The following is an 18,723-nucleotide window of genomic DNA, read 5'->3' on the forward strand; positions in this document are numbered from 1 at the left end:
TGCCACCATGCCTGACTAATTTTTGTATTTTTAGTAGACACAGGGTTTCAACATATTGGTCAGGCTGGTCTCAAACTCCCGACCTCAGGTGATCTGCCCGCCTTGGCCTCCCAAAGTGCTGGGATTATAGGCGTGAAGCACCGCACCGGGACTGTTTTGCCATTACTTTCAAAGGCAAAAACCCCAATTACTTTTGTACCAACCTAATACCTATATATACACATGGCTTTGAAGTTAGTGAGAGCTTACTGATTCTCGGTTGATTCACAATCAGGCAACATAAGACAAAGAAAATGAAATTTAGAAGAAAAAGCCTAATAGTAGCAAAACAGTTATTTTTTCCAGCTTGTATAATCCATGGTGACCACCTTCTTTGCTGTTTTTTGGTATGAACTGGGATACATTACTACATTTGGAATGGAAAGGAACCCACAGGAGTTCAAAGTTGACACCAGGGTCTCTGCACATCCCCTCTGTCTGTCTGAAGCGCCCTCCATCTCACTCTCCGTGAGACAAGCACCTTCTCAACTCTCAGCTCTTGGTTTAACTGTCTCAGTCCTTGGCCACCAAATCCAGTGATTTTTCCAGCAGAAGAGTTCATTCTTTTCCCTCATATCACCTACCTCTCTGTGAATTACACTTACAGTTGTTCAATTTATTTACTTGTTGTCTATCTCCTTCCTAAAACTTTAACCTCCAAGAGGACAAGAACCATGTTCAGTGCTGTATCCCCAGCAACAAGCATAGTACCTAGCACATAGGCAATTTTTGAATAAATAAGCCAATTAATCACTGTACATGGGCTTTTATGACAAAAGCTGACAAAATGGCTATTTTTTAAATAGGACATCTAAAAATAAAAATACTTTTATATGCCTATATGAAGAAGAAAAATTTGAGACTTACAAACCTCAGGGCCTTTTACATGCCACTGTTGTCCCTGACCTTCCATGTGTCCTCCAAGTCCTTCACTGGAGTACTTTTTTGTTCACTATTTATCCTCATACACATTATTTCCATCTCCTAAACACATTCCTTAAAGACAGTCCTTAAATCACAGACTTCCATCAGGTGCTTTAAAAAAGACAAAAAGAAGGCCTGGTGTGGTAGCTCATGCCTGTAATCCCAGCACTTTGGGAGGCAGAGGCAGACGGATCACTTGAGCCCAGGAGACCAGCCTGGGCAACATGGCAAAACTCCATCTCTACCAAAAATTAAAAATAAAAAAATTAGCCAGACGGTGGAGTGTGCCTGTAGTTCCAGCTACTCAGGAGGCTGAGGTGGGAGGATCACCTGAGCCAAGGGAGGTCGAGGTTGCAGTGAGCTGTGATCACACCACTGCACTCCAACCTGGGTAACAGAGCGAGACCCTGTCTCAAATAAACAAATAATAAATAAATAAGGCTTGAGGATATCTCATTTTTAATGATAGCATTTCATTTTCTAGTAGCCAGAAGTAGTTAAAAACTAAAATTTCCCAATCATCTTCCCATTTGTTGTCCAGAGACAGCTAATAAGATACCAGTTCTGTCCACTAGGGACAGAAGATAAGCCCTGGCACACAGAGGAGACATGTGGAGAAGCAGCATTCCCACGATGGGACTGTGGGTTATGGGGGTTACGAGGGAAGGCTGGCAGTCCCACTGCCCCACCTTCACAGCCTCGCCTTCTGGCTGATGCCACAATGGTTTTCCAAATTTTAATACATAATGCTTACTAGACAGATTGAGTCAAACTCTTCCAAACGGATCCACTGAAATGGCCTTACCTCTGTTTCTGAGAGAAGTGTTTTTAGTCTTGTCAAATCCTTTGTTACCATCCCATTCTGAAAGGGTGAATAAAAAAGAGAAGAACCAATTAGTATATTAATTCTTTACTATGGCAACTTAGCTCAATTCCTCTGTTGTTTCTGAGTTTATTTGTAAAAAACAATGTTATCCTCATCCCTCATCACTACTACCATTAACGATGACAATAAAGCAACACATCTATGAGGAAAATTTAAAAGGTTAACAGGAAAAACTATACAGAATGCCTTTTCTGGTAAGTAAAACCACTGTATTCACCTTACATTAATTAAAATTAACTCAAGAAAATATTAACAACAGGTACCACCACAGAACAAGACAGCATAAATGAAAAGGAAAACAACCTATTGCTGTTTTTAACCCTTTTCCTAAGATTAATAAGTTTGTATGTACAAAATGGTGAACCCAGCCATGATTCAGGAAGATTCATATAAGCTGATCACACCACTTTAAAAATGGCTCTTTAATAAAAGGAAAATATCACTCTTCTGAAATCTAAATTTCATTTGAGATTTAAAAGCAAATTACTCTTTACTCGTTTTAAATTTAAAAACAACAGGTAAAACTGTAATATACTTAACTTATACAGAAAAGCCCTTTAATGATAATCTTAATAACAAAGAAGAGATATATTCCTTTATTATCTACTTAGAACTAAATAGCTATATAATTTTTCTATGCTAATACATTTTAGCTTTTAAGTTCATTTATGAATCTGGTGAAATCAAAAGACACTGCTAAACTTAAACATAATTAAACAATTCACTGCACAATAATTCCTTAGAAAATAACTATCCCGAGATGGGCCAATACATTACACTCAACAATATACCAAGTACTTCCCTAACTTCTTTTTTTTTAACCAAATATAATTATTTAATATTTGGAGTAAAAGCACAAATCTGCCCCATAATTTTATCATCTATATCAATTCAGAAGAATAGGAAAGATACAGGGAATTCACACAGCAGAGCAAAGTATACATATACTTTCTTGCTTTCACTGTGTTTCATTATGATTCTTGAAAATTATCAACAAATTTCTTAAGTTACGAACTGGTTTAAAAAAAAAAAGGTTATAGCTCTTTTCTTCCACTTTCTATAGATTATCAAATCCAAAGTTTCAAAAAGTAGCCTTTCAATTATCTCAACCAAAAAAAGCCAAAAAATTAAATATACTTCTGAGCACAGTGGCACATGCCTATTGCCCTAGCTACTGAGGAGGTTGAAACAGGATCACTTGAGCCCAAGAGTTCAAAGCTGTAGCGCACTATGATAACCCCCTGTGAATAGCCACTGCACTCCAGCCTCAGCAATTCAGCAAGACTCCGTAACTTAAAAAAATCAAATGCTATATTTACAAAATTGATTGTAAAGTCTGAATAGAGTTAGCTAGTTCCATCAGAGTGGTTATGGATATTACTTACACACATACAAACAGAAACAGAAGCACTTATTAGTTTAGATAGATTTAAACATTTTATGAAATAAATTGTTGAATTTAAGAACCCTATGAGATCATATGTCCACATCAGCATTTTAAAACTCAGGCTCTGTTAAATCATATCTTCAAAGAAAATCACTTAGTTAACCTAAATTATTTTAAAGTATCTACAATTCTTATATATAATCACAAACTACAAGAATTAATAATTAAATATCATTTTGGTCTCGAAAAAAGAGCAGGGGCTCACACCTATAATCCCAGCACTTTGGGAGGCCAAGGAGGGAGGATTTTTTGAGCCCAGGAGTTCAAGACCAGCCTGGGCAACATAATGAGACCTCGTCTCTACAAAAAGTCAAAAATTAGCAGGGATGGTAGTGCGCATCTGTAGTCCCAGCTACTCAGGAGGCTGAGGCAGGAGGATCGCTTGAGCCCAGGAGGTTGAAGCTGCAGTGTGCAGTGATCACACCACTTTACTCAGCCTAGACAACAGACTGACACCTTGTCTCAAAAAAAAGAAAAAAACAAAAAAAGAAAAGAAAGAAAAGAAAAATGGGTACTATATCTCAGGATACTCATGAATTTTGCTTTCTAATAGAGGAAGAACTAAAAGAAAAAAAGATACACTTTTTTTTCCCCACAATATACCTAAGGAATCAAATAAAAATTTGTTTTCAGGCATACAAAATTAGAGCTTATCAACATACCAGGGACTCTCCTGTGAGTGACTTGGCAAGAATGGTGGATACAGGTTGGAGCTTCCCTTTCAGCTGCATGCAGCAAAGCACTGCCCGAAAGGCATCTTCTCCCTTGGCCAGTCCTTCTCCCAGCACTGCCATGAAAGAACAGCCATCATTAACCATATGACATTTAATGCACATTTTTCTTGATTATAGTATTAACACACTATCACAAGCGTGGCTTTTTATATGCTAAAAGAGTAACTTCAAATACTCTAGAGGGAAGCAGTGGTGTTTCTGTTCTGTCCAAAACAGGCATATAAGAACAAGAAAAAACATGCGGCAATAAACATACCGAACTTACAACCAGTTGAGATCAAAATCACAGGAAGAATCAATCCTTAAGCTCTCGAGGGAAAAATACTGTTCAACCTACGAATTCTGGGTAAATGAGGGCTTTTAAATTGCAGACTTAGCTGAATAAAGTTCTCATGTTTTTTACAGTGACATAAGACTGGGTGCCATTAAAATGAGTAAGAACAGAAACTACAAATCTCACCTAGATATTCCTAAGCAATTAAGAATTAGTCTTTATCAAATCCAACAAGATTTACTAAGAATCCAATTGCCCAGTGGCCACAGAAAATGCTACCCAAATTGTTTGCAAGGGTTTGCAGATTTAATCTAATACAATCATGAGGATCATGTTTCTAACAAAACAGAATATACTCATTTTTATGCCATGTCATTTGAGATGATTTCTCACAGCAACTGCTAATGGTTCAATTAGTAGAGCAATCTATATCCTCTGCATTGCTAAGTCCAAGGTTCTATTATTAGTTTGTACATACTTTAGCTTCCTTTGCAATAATTTGCTAAAATATTTTAGAAATTATTTTTAAAATTATTTCCAAGGAAATGTTTCTTTTTAGTATAACATACCATATATATAAAGTCCACTGGATCTGTTCATATTTTTGTTATGAATATATCTTCTCCTATTATTACACAAACATTATAAAACTAATAAAATTCTACATAAGAGTTCATCATAATCTCACTACTCAACGAAGTTTTCACTTACTCATTTTCTCCTCCAATTCTGATCAATGTTCACAACATTTTTACAATGATTGTAACTGATGCCAACATGACAGTTTGTATTCTTTTTTGCCCTCAGCACATTCAGTATTTTCCATGTGATCAGAGTGCTTATATTTATCTTATTATTGGCTATATAATGTTCTACCAAGTAGATACATCAACTTATTTAACCCTTCCCTTATAAGATAATAATTCCAATTATTAACTATTAAAAATAATGCCATAATAAAAATCTTTACATATACCTTTTATTGAATTTACTAAATTGAAAGTTGCAGTCTCTCTGTATTTGACAGGGTTTTATTCAATTATTTTTAGTTTGGACGAATCTATTGTTTCAATCCATCCATATTACAGATCACTCATCTATTCAACAGTCACTAGATAATTCTGTTATCTAGTGAAACTCCAATAAGGAGTTATCAAGTGAAAAACTCCAATAAGGTATCATTAAGAATGTCTTGAGTGTCTTATAAAGTTCCAAGGTAAGTATTCATCTCCCTCAGATCTTACTATTCCTAAAACTCTTCAAATCTGACCTTGGGCAAGTTACTTATCTCTCTGACCCTCAGTGTGGCCATCTGTAAAACAGAAACACGTATAAATTTGCCATTAAAGATTAAATGAAACAATACAAGTAAAATGCTCTCGCCAGGCATGGTGGCTCATGCCTGTAATCCCAGCATTTTGGGAGGCCGAGGCGGGCAGATCACCTGAGGTCAGGAGTTCAAGACAAGCCTGGCCAACATGGTGAAACCCCGTCTCTACTAAAAATACAAAAATTAGCGGGCATGGTGGCAGGCACCTGTAATCCCAGCTACTCGGGAGGCTGAGGCAGGAGAACCGCTTGAACCCAGGAGACAAAGGTTGCAGTGAGCCAAGATCGTACCACTGCACTCCAGCCTGGGGGACAAGAGCGAAACTGTCTCAAAAAAAAAAAAAAATTGCTCTGAAGAAAAATGACACTCCTACTAAGGTATGGATTAGTTACATCGCTAAGCCTATTTCCTCCCCTATCAAACGGAGGTGACAGTAGCTACTTCATAAGGTTGTGGTAAAGATTAATTATGCTAATTAGAAAAGTAACTAGCAGTCTCCTGCATAAGTAAGAATTCCCTACATATTACCTTCCCCTTCTAAAAATTTTACAGCAGTACTGAGCACTGCTGAGGAAATATCTTAGTTCATTTTTAGTAACTGGGATATTAAGAAACTAGTTGTCAAGAGCTGAAAAATGTTTGCAGGAATGAAAAAGTCTAAGAGTATTTCAACTTCATATGATGATGTCATACTTAAAGAGTATTAAATCACATAACATTTTACAAACAGGTTTCATAGATCTTTGGTTTTGTATGAGGTATTTGCTGAATTTCATTTTGCAAGTTTCTTCCACTACATTGCTGTATGAATATCTTAATATTTGTCAAATTTATGTTTCCCTTTTTTCCATCTCTTTTTCAGACAAGAAGCAGTACTGACATACTTTCTTCCTGTTCCCCTTAAATGAAATTCAATTTATGTATGGGAGGATCCCATATAAAAAACTATGGCATAGAAATAGTCAATAACTATAGATAAAAACCTCTCCTGCTACTGTATCGTATAACAAAATTAAATTGCAATGCTGCCAATCTAGTTCCTTATTACCTTGAAAAAGCTTGGGGGAAAAAAAGTATGGCCTACTGTATTATTAAACTTGTCTCGGCTATAAAAACTGAACTTGCCAAAAGACATGACATTAATAATACAATCTTGAACAATTATAAAAAAGTTACAGCTCCTTGCAGATAAATTCTCTTCCCATCAACTATGTGTGAGAGTGTACTGTGCGCACACAACTGTTCTCAAACTGAATTGTTCCTTTCTGTTCACTAGGAGTTACAAAGGAGGACTTCTGTCAGCTCGCTGTGTATCTTTTTTGTGATATTTTCTAACACTTGAAATATGTCTTACTTAGAATGTTTTGGATTAGAAACTGAGTAGACTTAAAGGAGTAATATTCATTCAACTGTTTTAGCAAAATACATCTTTGCTGGGGTTCCATAGCCTCTGGCTATCACAAGGCAAGGATTAACAATTAAAATGCAATTCCCTTTGCTTGTAAAGAATTACCTAATATAAGGAAAGTAATCTTAAAACAAGCTTATAGTAAATGTTGAGTACATATTCTCTACTGTTTTCAGTAATATGACCATATTAGGACTTTTTTTTTTTTTTTTTAAGACGGAGTTTCACTCTTGTTGCCCAGGCTGGAGTGGAATGGCGCGATCTTGGCTCACCACAACCTCTGCCGCCCAGGTTCAGGCAATTCTCCTGCCTCCAGCCTCCCGAGTAGCTGGGATTACAGGCATGCGCCACCATACTCGGCTAATTTTGTATTTTTAGTAGAGACGGGCTTTCTCCATGTTGGTCAGGCTGGTCTTGAACTCCCGACCTCAGGTGATCCACCCGCCTCAGCCTCCCAAAGAGCTGGGATTACAGGCGTGAGCCACTATGCCGGGTTTTTTTGTTTTTTGTTTTTTTGGGTTTTTTTTGAGACAGAGTTTCGCTCTTGTTGCCCAGGCTGGAGTGCAGTGGTATGATATCAGCGGACTGCAACCTCTGCCTCCCAGGTTCAAGCGACTATCCTACCTCAGCCTCCCAAGTAGCTGGGATTACAGGCATGCGCCACCACCCATGGTTAATTTTGTATTTTTAGTAGAGACGGCGGTTCTCCATGTTGGTCAGGTTGGTCTCGAACTCCTGACCTCAAGTGATCCGCCCGCCTCTGCCTCCCAAAGTGCTGGGATTACAGGCATGAGCCACCACGCCCGGCCTTTTTTTTTTTTTTTTTTTTTTTTTTTGAGATGGAGTCTCGCTTTGTTGCCCAGGCTGGAGTGCAGTGGCATGATTAGGCTCACTGCAACCACCGCCTCCTCAGTTCAAGCGACTCTCCTGCCTCAGCCTCACCAGTAGCTGGTATTACATGCACGTGCTACCACACCTGGCTGATTTTTGCATTTTTAGTAGAGACAGGTCTTCACCATGTTGGCTAGGCTGGTCTCGAACTCCTGACCTCAGGTGATCCACTCACCTCAGTCTCCCCAAGAGCTGGGATTACAGGTGTGAGCCACTACACCCAGCCTAGGTTATTTCTTTTATCAAATCCTTAGTTACTTCTGAAGTGTTTTATTAAAGAGCTTAGCCTAATGAAGGTATTTTTTCCAAAAACTTTCCTAAAAATTTTTTTCATTACCATACAAACTAAATCCTTTAGTCAGTAATGATATAAAATCACTCACTGCTTAGATATAATCATGCTCTCAGAACTAACAATTCAGAAACTGAATTTAAAATGAAAATAAAGGCCGAGCCTATAATCCCAGCACTTTGGGAGCCTGAGGCAGGTGGATCACCTGAGTCCAGGAGTTCGAGACCAGCCTGGCCAACATGGCAAAACCCCATCTCTACTAAAAATACAAAAATTAGCCAGGCATGGCGGCGCATACCCATAATACTAGCTTCTTGGGAGGCTGACTGCTTGTACCCAGGAGGCTGAAGTTGCAGTGAGCTGAGATCACTCCACTGCACTCCAGTCTGGGCGACAGAGCAAGACCCTGTCTCAAAACAAAAACAAAAAACAGCATGGATGGATCTCAAGAGGACCATGGTGAGTGGAAAAAAGCCATCTGAAAAGGTCATATGCTATATGATTCCATTTCTATAACACTCTCAAAGTGGCAAAATTAGGGAGATGAAGAACAGATTAGTGGTTGCCAAGGGTTAGAAAAGGTAGTAAGGAAGGGTGGTTGAGTGTGACTCTAAAGGAATAGTACATTTCCTGAGAAAGAAACAACAAAAAAAGAAGTTTTTCAAAAAAAATTGTAAAAAAAAATTGTAAAAGGTAGGAGGCAGCACAAGGGAGATCTTCACGATGATGGAGCAGTTCTGTATCTTAATTGTATTCGTGGTTAAATCAGTCTACACATGATCAAAATGACACAGAATACACACATTCCTTGTACTAATGTTAATTTCCTTGTTTTGATATGGTGCCAGAGTTATGTAAGACGTAATAACTGGGGGAAAGTAGGTGAAGGGTACGTGGGACCTCTCTGTATTATCTTTGCCACTTCCTGTTAACCTATAATTATTTCAGAATAAAGAGTTTAAAATAAATACATAAAGCTTATATATATATAAATTTTTTAAAAAATAGTTTGTAACTGGATCTAACAATGAATTAAGAAATGTTGTTAAGGCTGGGTGCAGCGGTTCACATATGTAATCCCAACACTTTGGGAGGCCAAGGTAGGAGGATTGCTTGAACCCAGTAGTTCAAGACCAGCCTGGGCAACATGGCAAGACACCATTTCTACAAAACAGAAAACAAAACAAAAAAACAGAAAAAAATTAGCCGGTTGTGGTGGCATGTGCCTATAGTCCCAGCTACTTGGGAGGCTGGGGTGGGAGGATCACCTGAGCCCCAGAAGGTCATCAAAGCTGAGGTGAGCTGTGATCACACCATGGCACTCCAGCCTGGATGACAGAGTGAAACTCTGTCTCAAAAAAAAAGAAAAGAAAAAAGAAAAGAGAAGAGAAGAGAAAAGAAGAGAGGCAGGAAGGCAAAAAGGAAGGAAGGAAGGAAGGAAGGGAGGAAGGGAGGGAGGGAGGGAGGGAGGGAAGGAAGGAAAGAAGGTAGGTTGGTTGTTGAACTGCGTCTCTATTTTAAAAGCCTGGGGAATTAAAAAAAAAAAAAAACAACACTGGCAAGGAGCTTAAATACTGAAATTCTTGTCTCCACCACACTAATATTATAATTATTTTAGTGATCCTGAGGCACAATCTTTTTCATTTCTAGAATAATACAGTTCTTTTTGTGCCTGTTTTCCAAGTTTGTTAGGCTAAAGGAGATAAAAACATCTGCAAAATGCTGAAGTAGGCCGGACGCGGTGGCTCACGCCTGTAATCCCAACACTTTGGGAGGCCGAGGTGGGTGGATCACCTGAGGTCAGGAGTTCAAGACCAGCCTGACCAGCATGGTGAAACCCCGTCACTACTAAAAATACAAAAATTAGCCGGGAATGGTGGTGGGCGCCTGTAATCCCAACTACTTGGGAAGCTGAGGCAGGAGAATCGCTTGAACCCAGAAGGCAGAGGTTGCAGTGAGCTAAGATCACACCATTGTATTCCAGCCTAGGCAACAGAGCGAGACTCTGTCTCAAAAACAAAACAAAACAAAACAAAGCTGAAGTATACACAAGTAGTAGTTGAGGATAAAGCAAAGCAACATGCCCTTTCAGATCAGAAAGACTTCAGTTCAAAACCACACTTCCACTCTGGACTGGCTCTGTGCTCTTAAGCAAGTAACTTAATCTCACAAAGTCTGTTTGCTCATCTGTAAAACTGCAATGATAATACAATTTGACTAAATAACATATTTCAGAGGGCCCAACCCTGTGACAATTTTAAATAAATACTGTTAACTCATTCACTAAATATTTTTTCCAAAAAAATTTTTAACTACCATAGAAACTATTTAATCAAAACTCTTCTGAGGGCCAGGTGCAGTAGCTCACACCTGTAATCTCAACACTTTGGGAGGATGAGGCAAGAGGATCACCTGAAGCCAGGATCACTCAAGACCAGCCTGGGCAACAAAGCAAAACCCCATCTCTACAAAAAATACAAAACAAAAATTAATCAACTATGCTGGCGCACACTTTGTTGTCCCAGCTACTGGGGAGGCTGAAGCAGGAGGATCACTTGAGCTCAGGATTTCAAGGCTGTAGTGAGCTATAATCACGCCACTCTACTTCCAGTCTGGGTGACACCATGACATGCCATCTCCAAATTAACAAACAAATTCTTCTCAGAAGAAAGGTAGTTACAGATATCACTTCCTCCCCCAGAGAGAGTACAGAAGTTTCAACCAATCGCCTATCAATTTGCCTTTTCTAAAAGTCAGCCTCTTTAACAGGGGTTGCTGATTACTGAATCATTTACTTCACAGGCCAAGTCTCACAACAACAAACATCAGTAGATGACCCAAGCCCCTTTGTTTGCAATGATGACTTCTTACATTAACAAAACTCTTAGCTAGGCTTTACAAATCTTACAGCCTCATAAAAAATTTTCATTGATGTTTATGATGGTTAAGTTTAACCTACATATTACAAGTGGTACAATACTCTTAGTTGATAAGATTACGTTCTTTTGATTTTACTTTCTCCATTTACCTCATTCATTTTTTTAGTGTAAAAAAATGGCCGGGCACAGTGACTCACACCTGTAATCCTAGCACCTTGGGAGGCCAAGGCAGGCAGATCACAAGGTCAAGAGATGGAGACCATCCTGGCCAACATGGTGAAACCCTGTCTCTACTAAAAATACAAAAATTAGCTGGGCGTGGTGGCGCATGCCTGTAGTCCCAGCTACTTGGGAGGCTGAGGCAGGAGAATCGCTTGAACCCAGGAGGCAGAGGTTGCAGTGAGCTGTGATCACGCCACTGCATTCTAGCCCAGCAACAGAACAAGACTCAAAAAAAAAAGTAAGTTTCCTATATAATGACTATTCGAAAGGCAAAAATAGAACCATTATTTCATCAAAGTTTTTGTGTTATGCCAAATACAACTGATGTTCAGACAATGAAAAGTGACTTAACTACCTCACTTATCCATTGGTCGCTGGCTTGGCAATCTTCACTATCCAGAATACAACAATGAACTTGGAACTGAAACCCAGGAACTTACAAAGGTGCCCTTGAGTCCTCACTCAGAGTATGTTTACTCTTATTGAAGCAGAATTCCAACTTTAAAATTTTATAACCTTTAATCAGTTCCTGGTTTAAACAAATCAGCTATTTAAAAAAAAAACTTTGGGGACAGAAAAACAGGTAAATTTGATTATGGACTGGACTTTAGATAGGTTAGGGAATTATTAGAGAATTATATCAATTCTATTATGCTAATAATAATATTGTGGTTATGCAGTCTTGATCTTATTTTTTAGAGAGGCATACTGAAGTATTTAGGGATAAATGTCATGATGTCTTTAATTATTCTTAAATATTTCAGAAAAAATGAAGTAAATATGGCAAAACATTAGTTGTTCAACCAAAGTTTTGAGAATATGAATGTTTATTATATCATTTACTCTACTTTCCTGTGTGTCTTACATTTTTCATATTAAAAAAGAAATAATGGGCTGGGCACGGTGGTTCACGCCTATAATCCCAGCACTTTGGGAGGCCAAGGCAGGTGGACCACTTGAGGTCAGGAGTTTGAGACCAGCCTGGCCAACATGGTGAAACCCCTTCTCTACTAAAAATACAAAAATTAGCTGGGCGTGGTAGCAGGCGCCTGTAATCCCAGTTACTCAGGGGGCTGAGACAGGAGAATTGCTTGAGCCCGTAAGGCAGAGGTTGCAGTGAGCCAAGATTACGCCACTGCACTCCAGCCTGAGCGACAGAACAAAACTGTCTCAAAAAAAGAAGAAAAGGGGAAGGGAAGGGGGAAGGTAAGGGAAGGGAAAGAAAAGACTGTTTTTTAATTCCATGATGAAGACTGCTGGTCTGATTTCGTAACCCACAGTAGGTCAGAAGCTGCAAGTGGAGAGGAGAGGAGCTGCAATGAGGCATGTTGAGAGTTGCAAGGAATGCAAATTAATAGCCTGACAGTAAGAGAACAGACATCAAGACTATGCTGTAAGGCCAAGGCGGGCAGATCACCTGAGATCAGGAGTTCAAGACCAGCCTGGCCAACATGGTGAAACCTCATCTCTACAAAAATATAAAAATTAGCTGGGCATGATGGCAGGTGCCTGCAATCCCAGCTACTGGGGAGGCAGGAGAATTGCTTGAACCCAGGAGGCACAGGTTGCAGTGAGCCGAGATCGCACCACTGCACTCCAACCTGGGCGACAGGGAGAGACACCATCTCAAAAAAAAAAAAAAAAAAAAAGGCTACACTGTATATAAAATGCAAACATAAGAAGTCCACGGTCTGGAGTGCTTAAACTATGAGCTATCCATGGCTATCCCTGGAAGCATCTTAGCATTACGAAACTATAATTAACAGAGACTGAGGTTCACATGTTTTTTATTACTGTCTAACCATAGTACTTCATCTTATACAAAAATAATGTTACTAAAAGTTGAAAAGAAAAAAATTACATGTAACAGCAGAACTCTACAACTACTAATATACATGTATAATCTTGGCCAATATTTCCAAATGTCTATTTCAAATAAACAACTCTGGATATACTGCTTTTGGATTTATTTAAAAAATGACCATTTTTCAAGCTCTTACTTATCACATAAAGGGGAACAAGGAATGTGTAGAATGTAATTAATGAACTCCTTCCTTATTGGAAGGTAACCTATTTTTCTCTTTTACACACAGCACTGCAATGAACACCACTCTGCATACAATTTTTTCTCTCTTTTGGATTACTGACTTAGGATAGTATCCCAGAAATGAGATTAGTGGGTCAAAGGGTATGAATATATTACCAAGCTGCATTCCATTCCATACTCCACCAATACCACAAAAGTATACTCATTTCATGACAACTTTATCTTAGGCATCGGTTAAACTTATATTTTAGTGATTCAAAAGTTGTGAAATAGCACCTAATTTTAAAATGCTAAGTAAAACAATTAACAGAATAATGCAACATTTGTCCATATGCTCCTTCAGCATTTACTTTTGTATGACTTTTCCTAAGTCACTGAACTTTCTAAGACTTTTGTTTGTACATCTCCAAAAAAACAAGACTGCATCAATTTCACTAGCACTCAGGGCAATGAAAACTGAAGAAAAAGGAACTATTTCTCACACATGAGATTGGCAAAATTTCAACACTGACAGGTTTCAGTGACAGATTACAGAGACTGGGCAGTCTCGTATATTGCTGTGGGTGTGTGCATCTGAAACTAATCTGACAGTGTCTATTAAAATTATAGGCCGGGCGCAGTGGCTCACGTCTGTAATCCCGGCACTTTGGGACGCCGAGGCAGGCAGGTCACGAGGTCAAGAGATCCAGACCATCCTGGCCAACATGGTGAAACCCTGTCTCTACTAAAAATACAAAAATTAGCCGGGCATGTTGGCGCATGCCTGCAGTCCCAGCTACTCAGGAGGCTGAGGCAGGAGAATCACTTGAACCTGGGAGACGGAGGTCACAGTGACCCGAGATCACGCCACTGCACTCCAGCCTGATGACAGAGCGAGACTCCATCTCAAAAAAAATAAATAAAATAAAATTGTAAGTGTACATACTCCTTAACCCAGAAATCCAACTTTTAAGACTATCCTATAAAAAAAAGGGCAACAATAAGAAAGAACATATGTTTATTACAGGATGGTTTATAATGACAAACCAGAAAACTAGAACCACCTAAATGCCCATCAATACGGGAATGGTTGAATAAATAGCAGCACATCCACGCCATGGAAAATTAAGCAGGAATTGGAGCCAGTGTATTAATTTAGAACAATATTCATGGTATACTGATATGTAAGAAAGCAAGGTGCTAGGTGATGATCACATTATGACTTTTTAATTTTTAAAGGAAAAACTCTACGTATTATAAGCACTTATGTTTGTCACTGTAAAGGCACAGAAGACCTTTCTCATACAGCAAACTAATAACAATAACTTCTTCAGATGGGGGAAGGATAAATTTTTCCTCTATATTATTTGACTTATTACTGTTTGCTCATTGTAATTTTAAAATTCCCATAGATAGCAGGGATTTTTTTAAAAGAAAATTCTACTAGATATCTCTTAATTTCTAGTTAACTCTCAAAGCACACAATTCTATGAAGTGAGGTGAACAAAGGTCACAGAATCTTTAATGAATGGTTAAATTAATATTTCTTTTTTTTTTTTTTTTTTTTTTTTGAGACAGAGTCTCACTCTGTCACCCAGGCTGGAGTGCAGTAGCACATTCTTGGCTCACTGCAGCCTCTGCCTCTCAGGTTCAAATGATTTGCCTGCCTCAGCCTCCCGAGTAGCTGGGATTACAGGCGTGCACCACCATGCCTGGCTAATTTCTGTATTTTTAGTAGAGATGGGGTTTCACCATATTGGCCAGGCTGGTTTCGAACTCCTGACCTCAAGTGATCCACCCACCTCGGCCTCCCCAAGTGCTGGGATTACAGGCGTGAGCCACCACGCCCGGCCTAATACTTTTTAAAATGTTAACACAAAGGAGTAAGCAGGGAAAAAAAAAAAATTAACTCATGTTAAATACCTCAGCACCACTACCCCCAAATTCTGGATGAACAAAACACTGTATTATTCAAACCACTGAGCTCTGCAAACAATTCCACCAAACGTGTGTGAGAATGTACAGTGAACTCTTCTCCCACTCACTCCTAGATTCATTCTAGTAAACAGCAACAACCACAAAGAAAAGGATTCCTATCAGTACTCGAAGAGCAAGAATCTTATTAATCTCAATTTCCAGCCTGAAACAGGAGACCAGGTGCGGTGGCTCATGCCTGTAATCCCAGCACTTTGGGAGGCCAAGGCAGGTGGATCCCTTGAGCCCAGGAGTAAGAGACCAGTCTGAGCAACATGGTAAAACCATCTCTACAAAAAATAAAAACATCAGCTGGGTGTGGTGGCACACATCTGTAATCCCAGCTACTTGCAAGGCTGAGGCAGGAGGACTGCTTGAGCCTGGAAGGTAGAGGCTGCAGTGAGCTGTGATCACCCCACCCCACTCCAGCCCAGGAGACAGAGCAAGACTCTGTCTCAGAGAGGGGAAAAAAAAAACACAGGAAAAATTACTAAAGAGCATTCTAGCTAGTCTCCTCTCTAAGAAAGATCTTCTGATCAAGAAGGAAAGACATTTTAGGAGGGACAGGCCCATCCTTTCAATTTATCTAGCTAAGCTTAACATTTTATTCAATGTGAGTTATGTTTCTTAAACTTTGGCCCTTGTGACTGGAGCTATTCAAACTTTTTTTTTTTTTTTTTGAGACGTAGTCTCACTCTGTCGCCCAAGCTGGAGTGCAGTGCTGTGATATCGGCTCACTGCAACCTCCGCCTCCCGGGTTCAAGCAATTCTCCTGCCCCAGCCTCCCAGGTAGCTGGGACTACAGGCATGCGCCGCCACGCCCAGCTAATTTTTGTAGTTTTAGTAGAGATGGGGTTTCACCATATTGGCCAGGCTGGTCTCAAACTCCAGATCTTGTGATCTGCCCGCCTCAGCCTCCCAAAGTGCTGGGATTACAGGTGTGAGCCACCACACCCGGCCTCACACAAACTTCAAAAGGACACATCATCAATGTTCCCAGGGGAGTGACAAGAACTTAAACATTCATGAGTAAGAGCAATGTTCACAGGTATGCCCAGCTCAGTGGGAATGTCATCATCCAAATCAGTCACTAGCCACCACAGTAAGGTGGGCTTTTCAAACATTATCATCATTTTTGAAATTAGCCAAAAAAAAAAATCAAACCTTAAACATTGTTCAATTCAATAATTCGAGTCTCATTTTTAAACATACCATGTCTACAATCTTCATCAGCTTGCACATAATTTTTCTGCAAAACAAAAATACAAGATAAAATTAAGTATTTCAAGAGCTGCTTTTAACAGAGATGTTGTCAAAGGGAAACTTGGCTTTGTTTCAAAGTTTAATCATTAATGTTGTAAACTTACTATTCACAGAGCAAAGCTAACACATGTGCCCTCTGAGGATTACAGGGCACTCTACAAATAAACGTCACAGTATACTTCCTAGTCCATGGACCCCCACTCCTACTTCTCACCTTCTCTAACCCTAACTCATCAGCACCTCCCTCCCCGCCAAAAGCTTTACTGAGAAAACTGAAGCCACAAGAAGAGAATTTTCATAGACTGTCACCACCACGTCTCCCCACTTCCCAGCATACACTCTGTCTTCCTTCTACCTGTTAACAGACATACTACCATGCTCCTTTCTAAAGTCAACCTACGCCTGTGCAGATCAACTCAGCCGCCTACGCAGGTATGGCACTCCAGCAAGCCTCCTCGACTTGTCCTACATCATTAATTTTTTGCTTTTGATTGGTTCATTTCTATACAGAAATACAGTTATTTCTCCCATCTAAAAAAATATTTCCCTTGACTTTATCTCTCCCACTAGCTACCATTCCTTTTTCTTTTTCCTTTTCCTTTCTCTTTTTTTTCTTTAGTGTCTCTTCATGGCAAAACTCCTCAAGAGTTGTCTATGTTGATGTATTTCAATTCCTTCCCCCAATTCTCTCCTAAGCCCTCTTTTTAAGCAGACTTTCACCCACTACTCCAAGGAAGCCACTCTCAAGAGATCACCAGTGACCTCCACTGCATCCATGTGGACCCACACGATTCACATGTGCCCACTCAGACACATTCTCATGGCTTTCTTGGCAGCTGCTGACACTACTCCTCATTTCCTCACTTGGACACACTTCCTTCCTTCACGCGGCTACCAGGACTCCTTCCTCTCACACTTTCCCCTTTCCTCAGGGTTGCTCTTTAGGTTGCTTTGCTGGTTGTTGCTCTGCTCCCCAACCTCTTGACACTGCAGCAGCCCAAGACTCGGCCCTCAGTCCTCGCCTCTTCTCTATGATGCTCATTTTCCCTTGGTGATTCTACGCTGGCTCAAGACATCATATAGCACTTCTATCCCACAGTCTTCAATGAATCTCTCTCCCAAATTCCATACGTGCATATCTGACTGCTTACTCAGCATCTTCAGCTGGGTATCTGAATGACATCTCAAACTCAGTACGTCCAAAACTGAACTCCCACCTTCCCCCACAAAACCTCCTCCCCAGCTGTAGCCTTCTAACCTCAGTTGAAGGAAACATCATTCTTCCAATTGCTCAGACAAAAAGTATCGAGGTAAGTAACTGCGACTGCTCCCCCTCATTCCCTGCATTCAATACATTAGGAAACCTGATTGCTTCTATTTTCAATGTATAAACCAAAACCTAGTTACTTCTCACTATCTCCACTGCTACCATTTTGATCTGAGCCACTCTGGCCTGGATTATTCTAATAGTCTCCAATCTAGTCTCCTTGCATCAACGCTTATCCCTTTACAGTTTATTCTCAGCACAAAAGTCAAACAATTTCTGTTAAATTAGATCACACCACTCCTCTGCCCAAAGCCCTGCAATAGCTCCCCAACTCACAGAGAATAAAAACCAAAGTCTTTATCACGAGCCAGCAGGCCCCACAGGCTTTGGTCCTCCCACCTCTCCACCGCGTGCACTCTACTCTGGCCACACTAACTCCTAGCTGCTACTCAAGCACAGCAGGCATGCTTCTGCTGCTGGGTCTGTTTCCATTGCCTGCAATGCTCTTCCTCCAGTTTTACACATGGCTCACCCCCTTGCCTCTGGTTATCACCTTCTCAATGAGGCCTGCCTTGACCACTCTATTTAAAATTGTAACCACATCTCTAACCCCAATATTCCCAATCTCCCCTGCCCTGTTCTCCTTTTTTCATGCGGTTACTACCTTTTAACAATCTATGGTGGGGTTTTTTTTTTGGTTTTTGTTTTTTGTTGTTTTTTTTTTTTTTAAGACGGAGTCTCGGAGTCTCGCCCTGTTGCCCAGGCTGGAGGGCAGTGGTGCAACCTCGGCTCCCTGCAACCTCTGCCTCCTGGGTTCAAGCGATCCTCCTGGCTCAGCCTCCTGAGTAGCTGGGATTATAGGCACGC

General features: G+C 40.0%; 1 protein-coding gene across 9 annotated transcripts in view; it reads right to left on the reverse strand.

Annotated features, from left to right (window-relative positions):
* HELZ (helicase with zinc finger) overlaps nt 1-18,723 on the reverse strand; it is a 175,546-nt gene that overhangs the window by 128,917 nt on the left and 27,906 nt on the right. For 8 of the 9 annotated variants that reach the window (XR_001752712.3, XM_047437225.1, XM_047437224.1 and 5 more), the window contains exons 5-7: nt 16,539-16,575; nt 3,959-4,083; nt 1,769-1,825 (exon numbers count right to left, since the gene is read on the reverse strand). Coding sequence is in view for 7 of the 9 variants with exons in the window: in XM_047437225.1 (XP_047293181.1) it covers nt 1,769-1,825; nt 3,959-4,083; nt 16,539-16,575 (219 nt within the window). In the remaining 2 variants the exon portion in view is untranslated. Of the gene's footprint in view, nt 1-1,768; nt 1,826-3,958; nt 4,084-16,538; nt 16,576-18,723 lie in introns of those variants that run through there. The other variant, XM_047437226.1, reaches the window with a different exon arrangement.

This window comes from Homo sapiens, chromosome 17 (assembly GCF_000001405.40).
Source record: "Homo sapiens chromosome 17, GRCh38.p14 Primary Assembly".
Classification (NCBI taxonomy): Eukaryota; Metazoa; Chordata; class Mammalia; order Primates; family Hominidae; genus Homo; species Homo sapiens.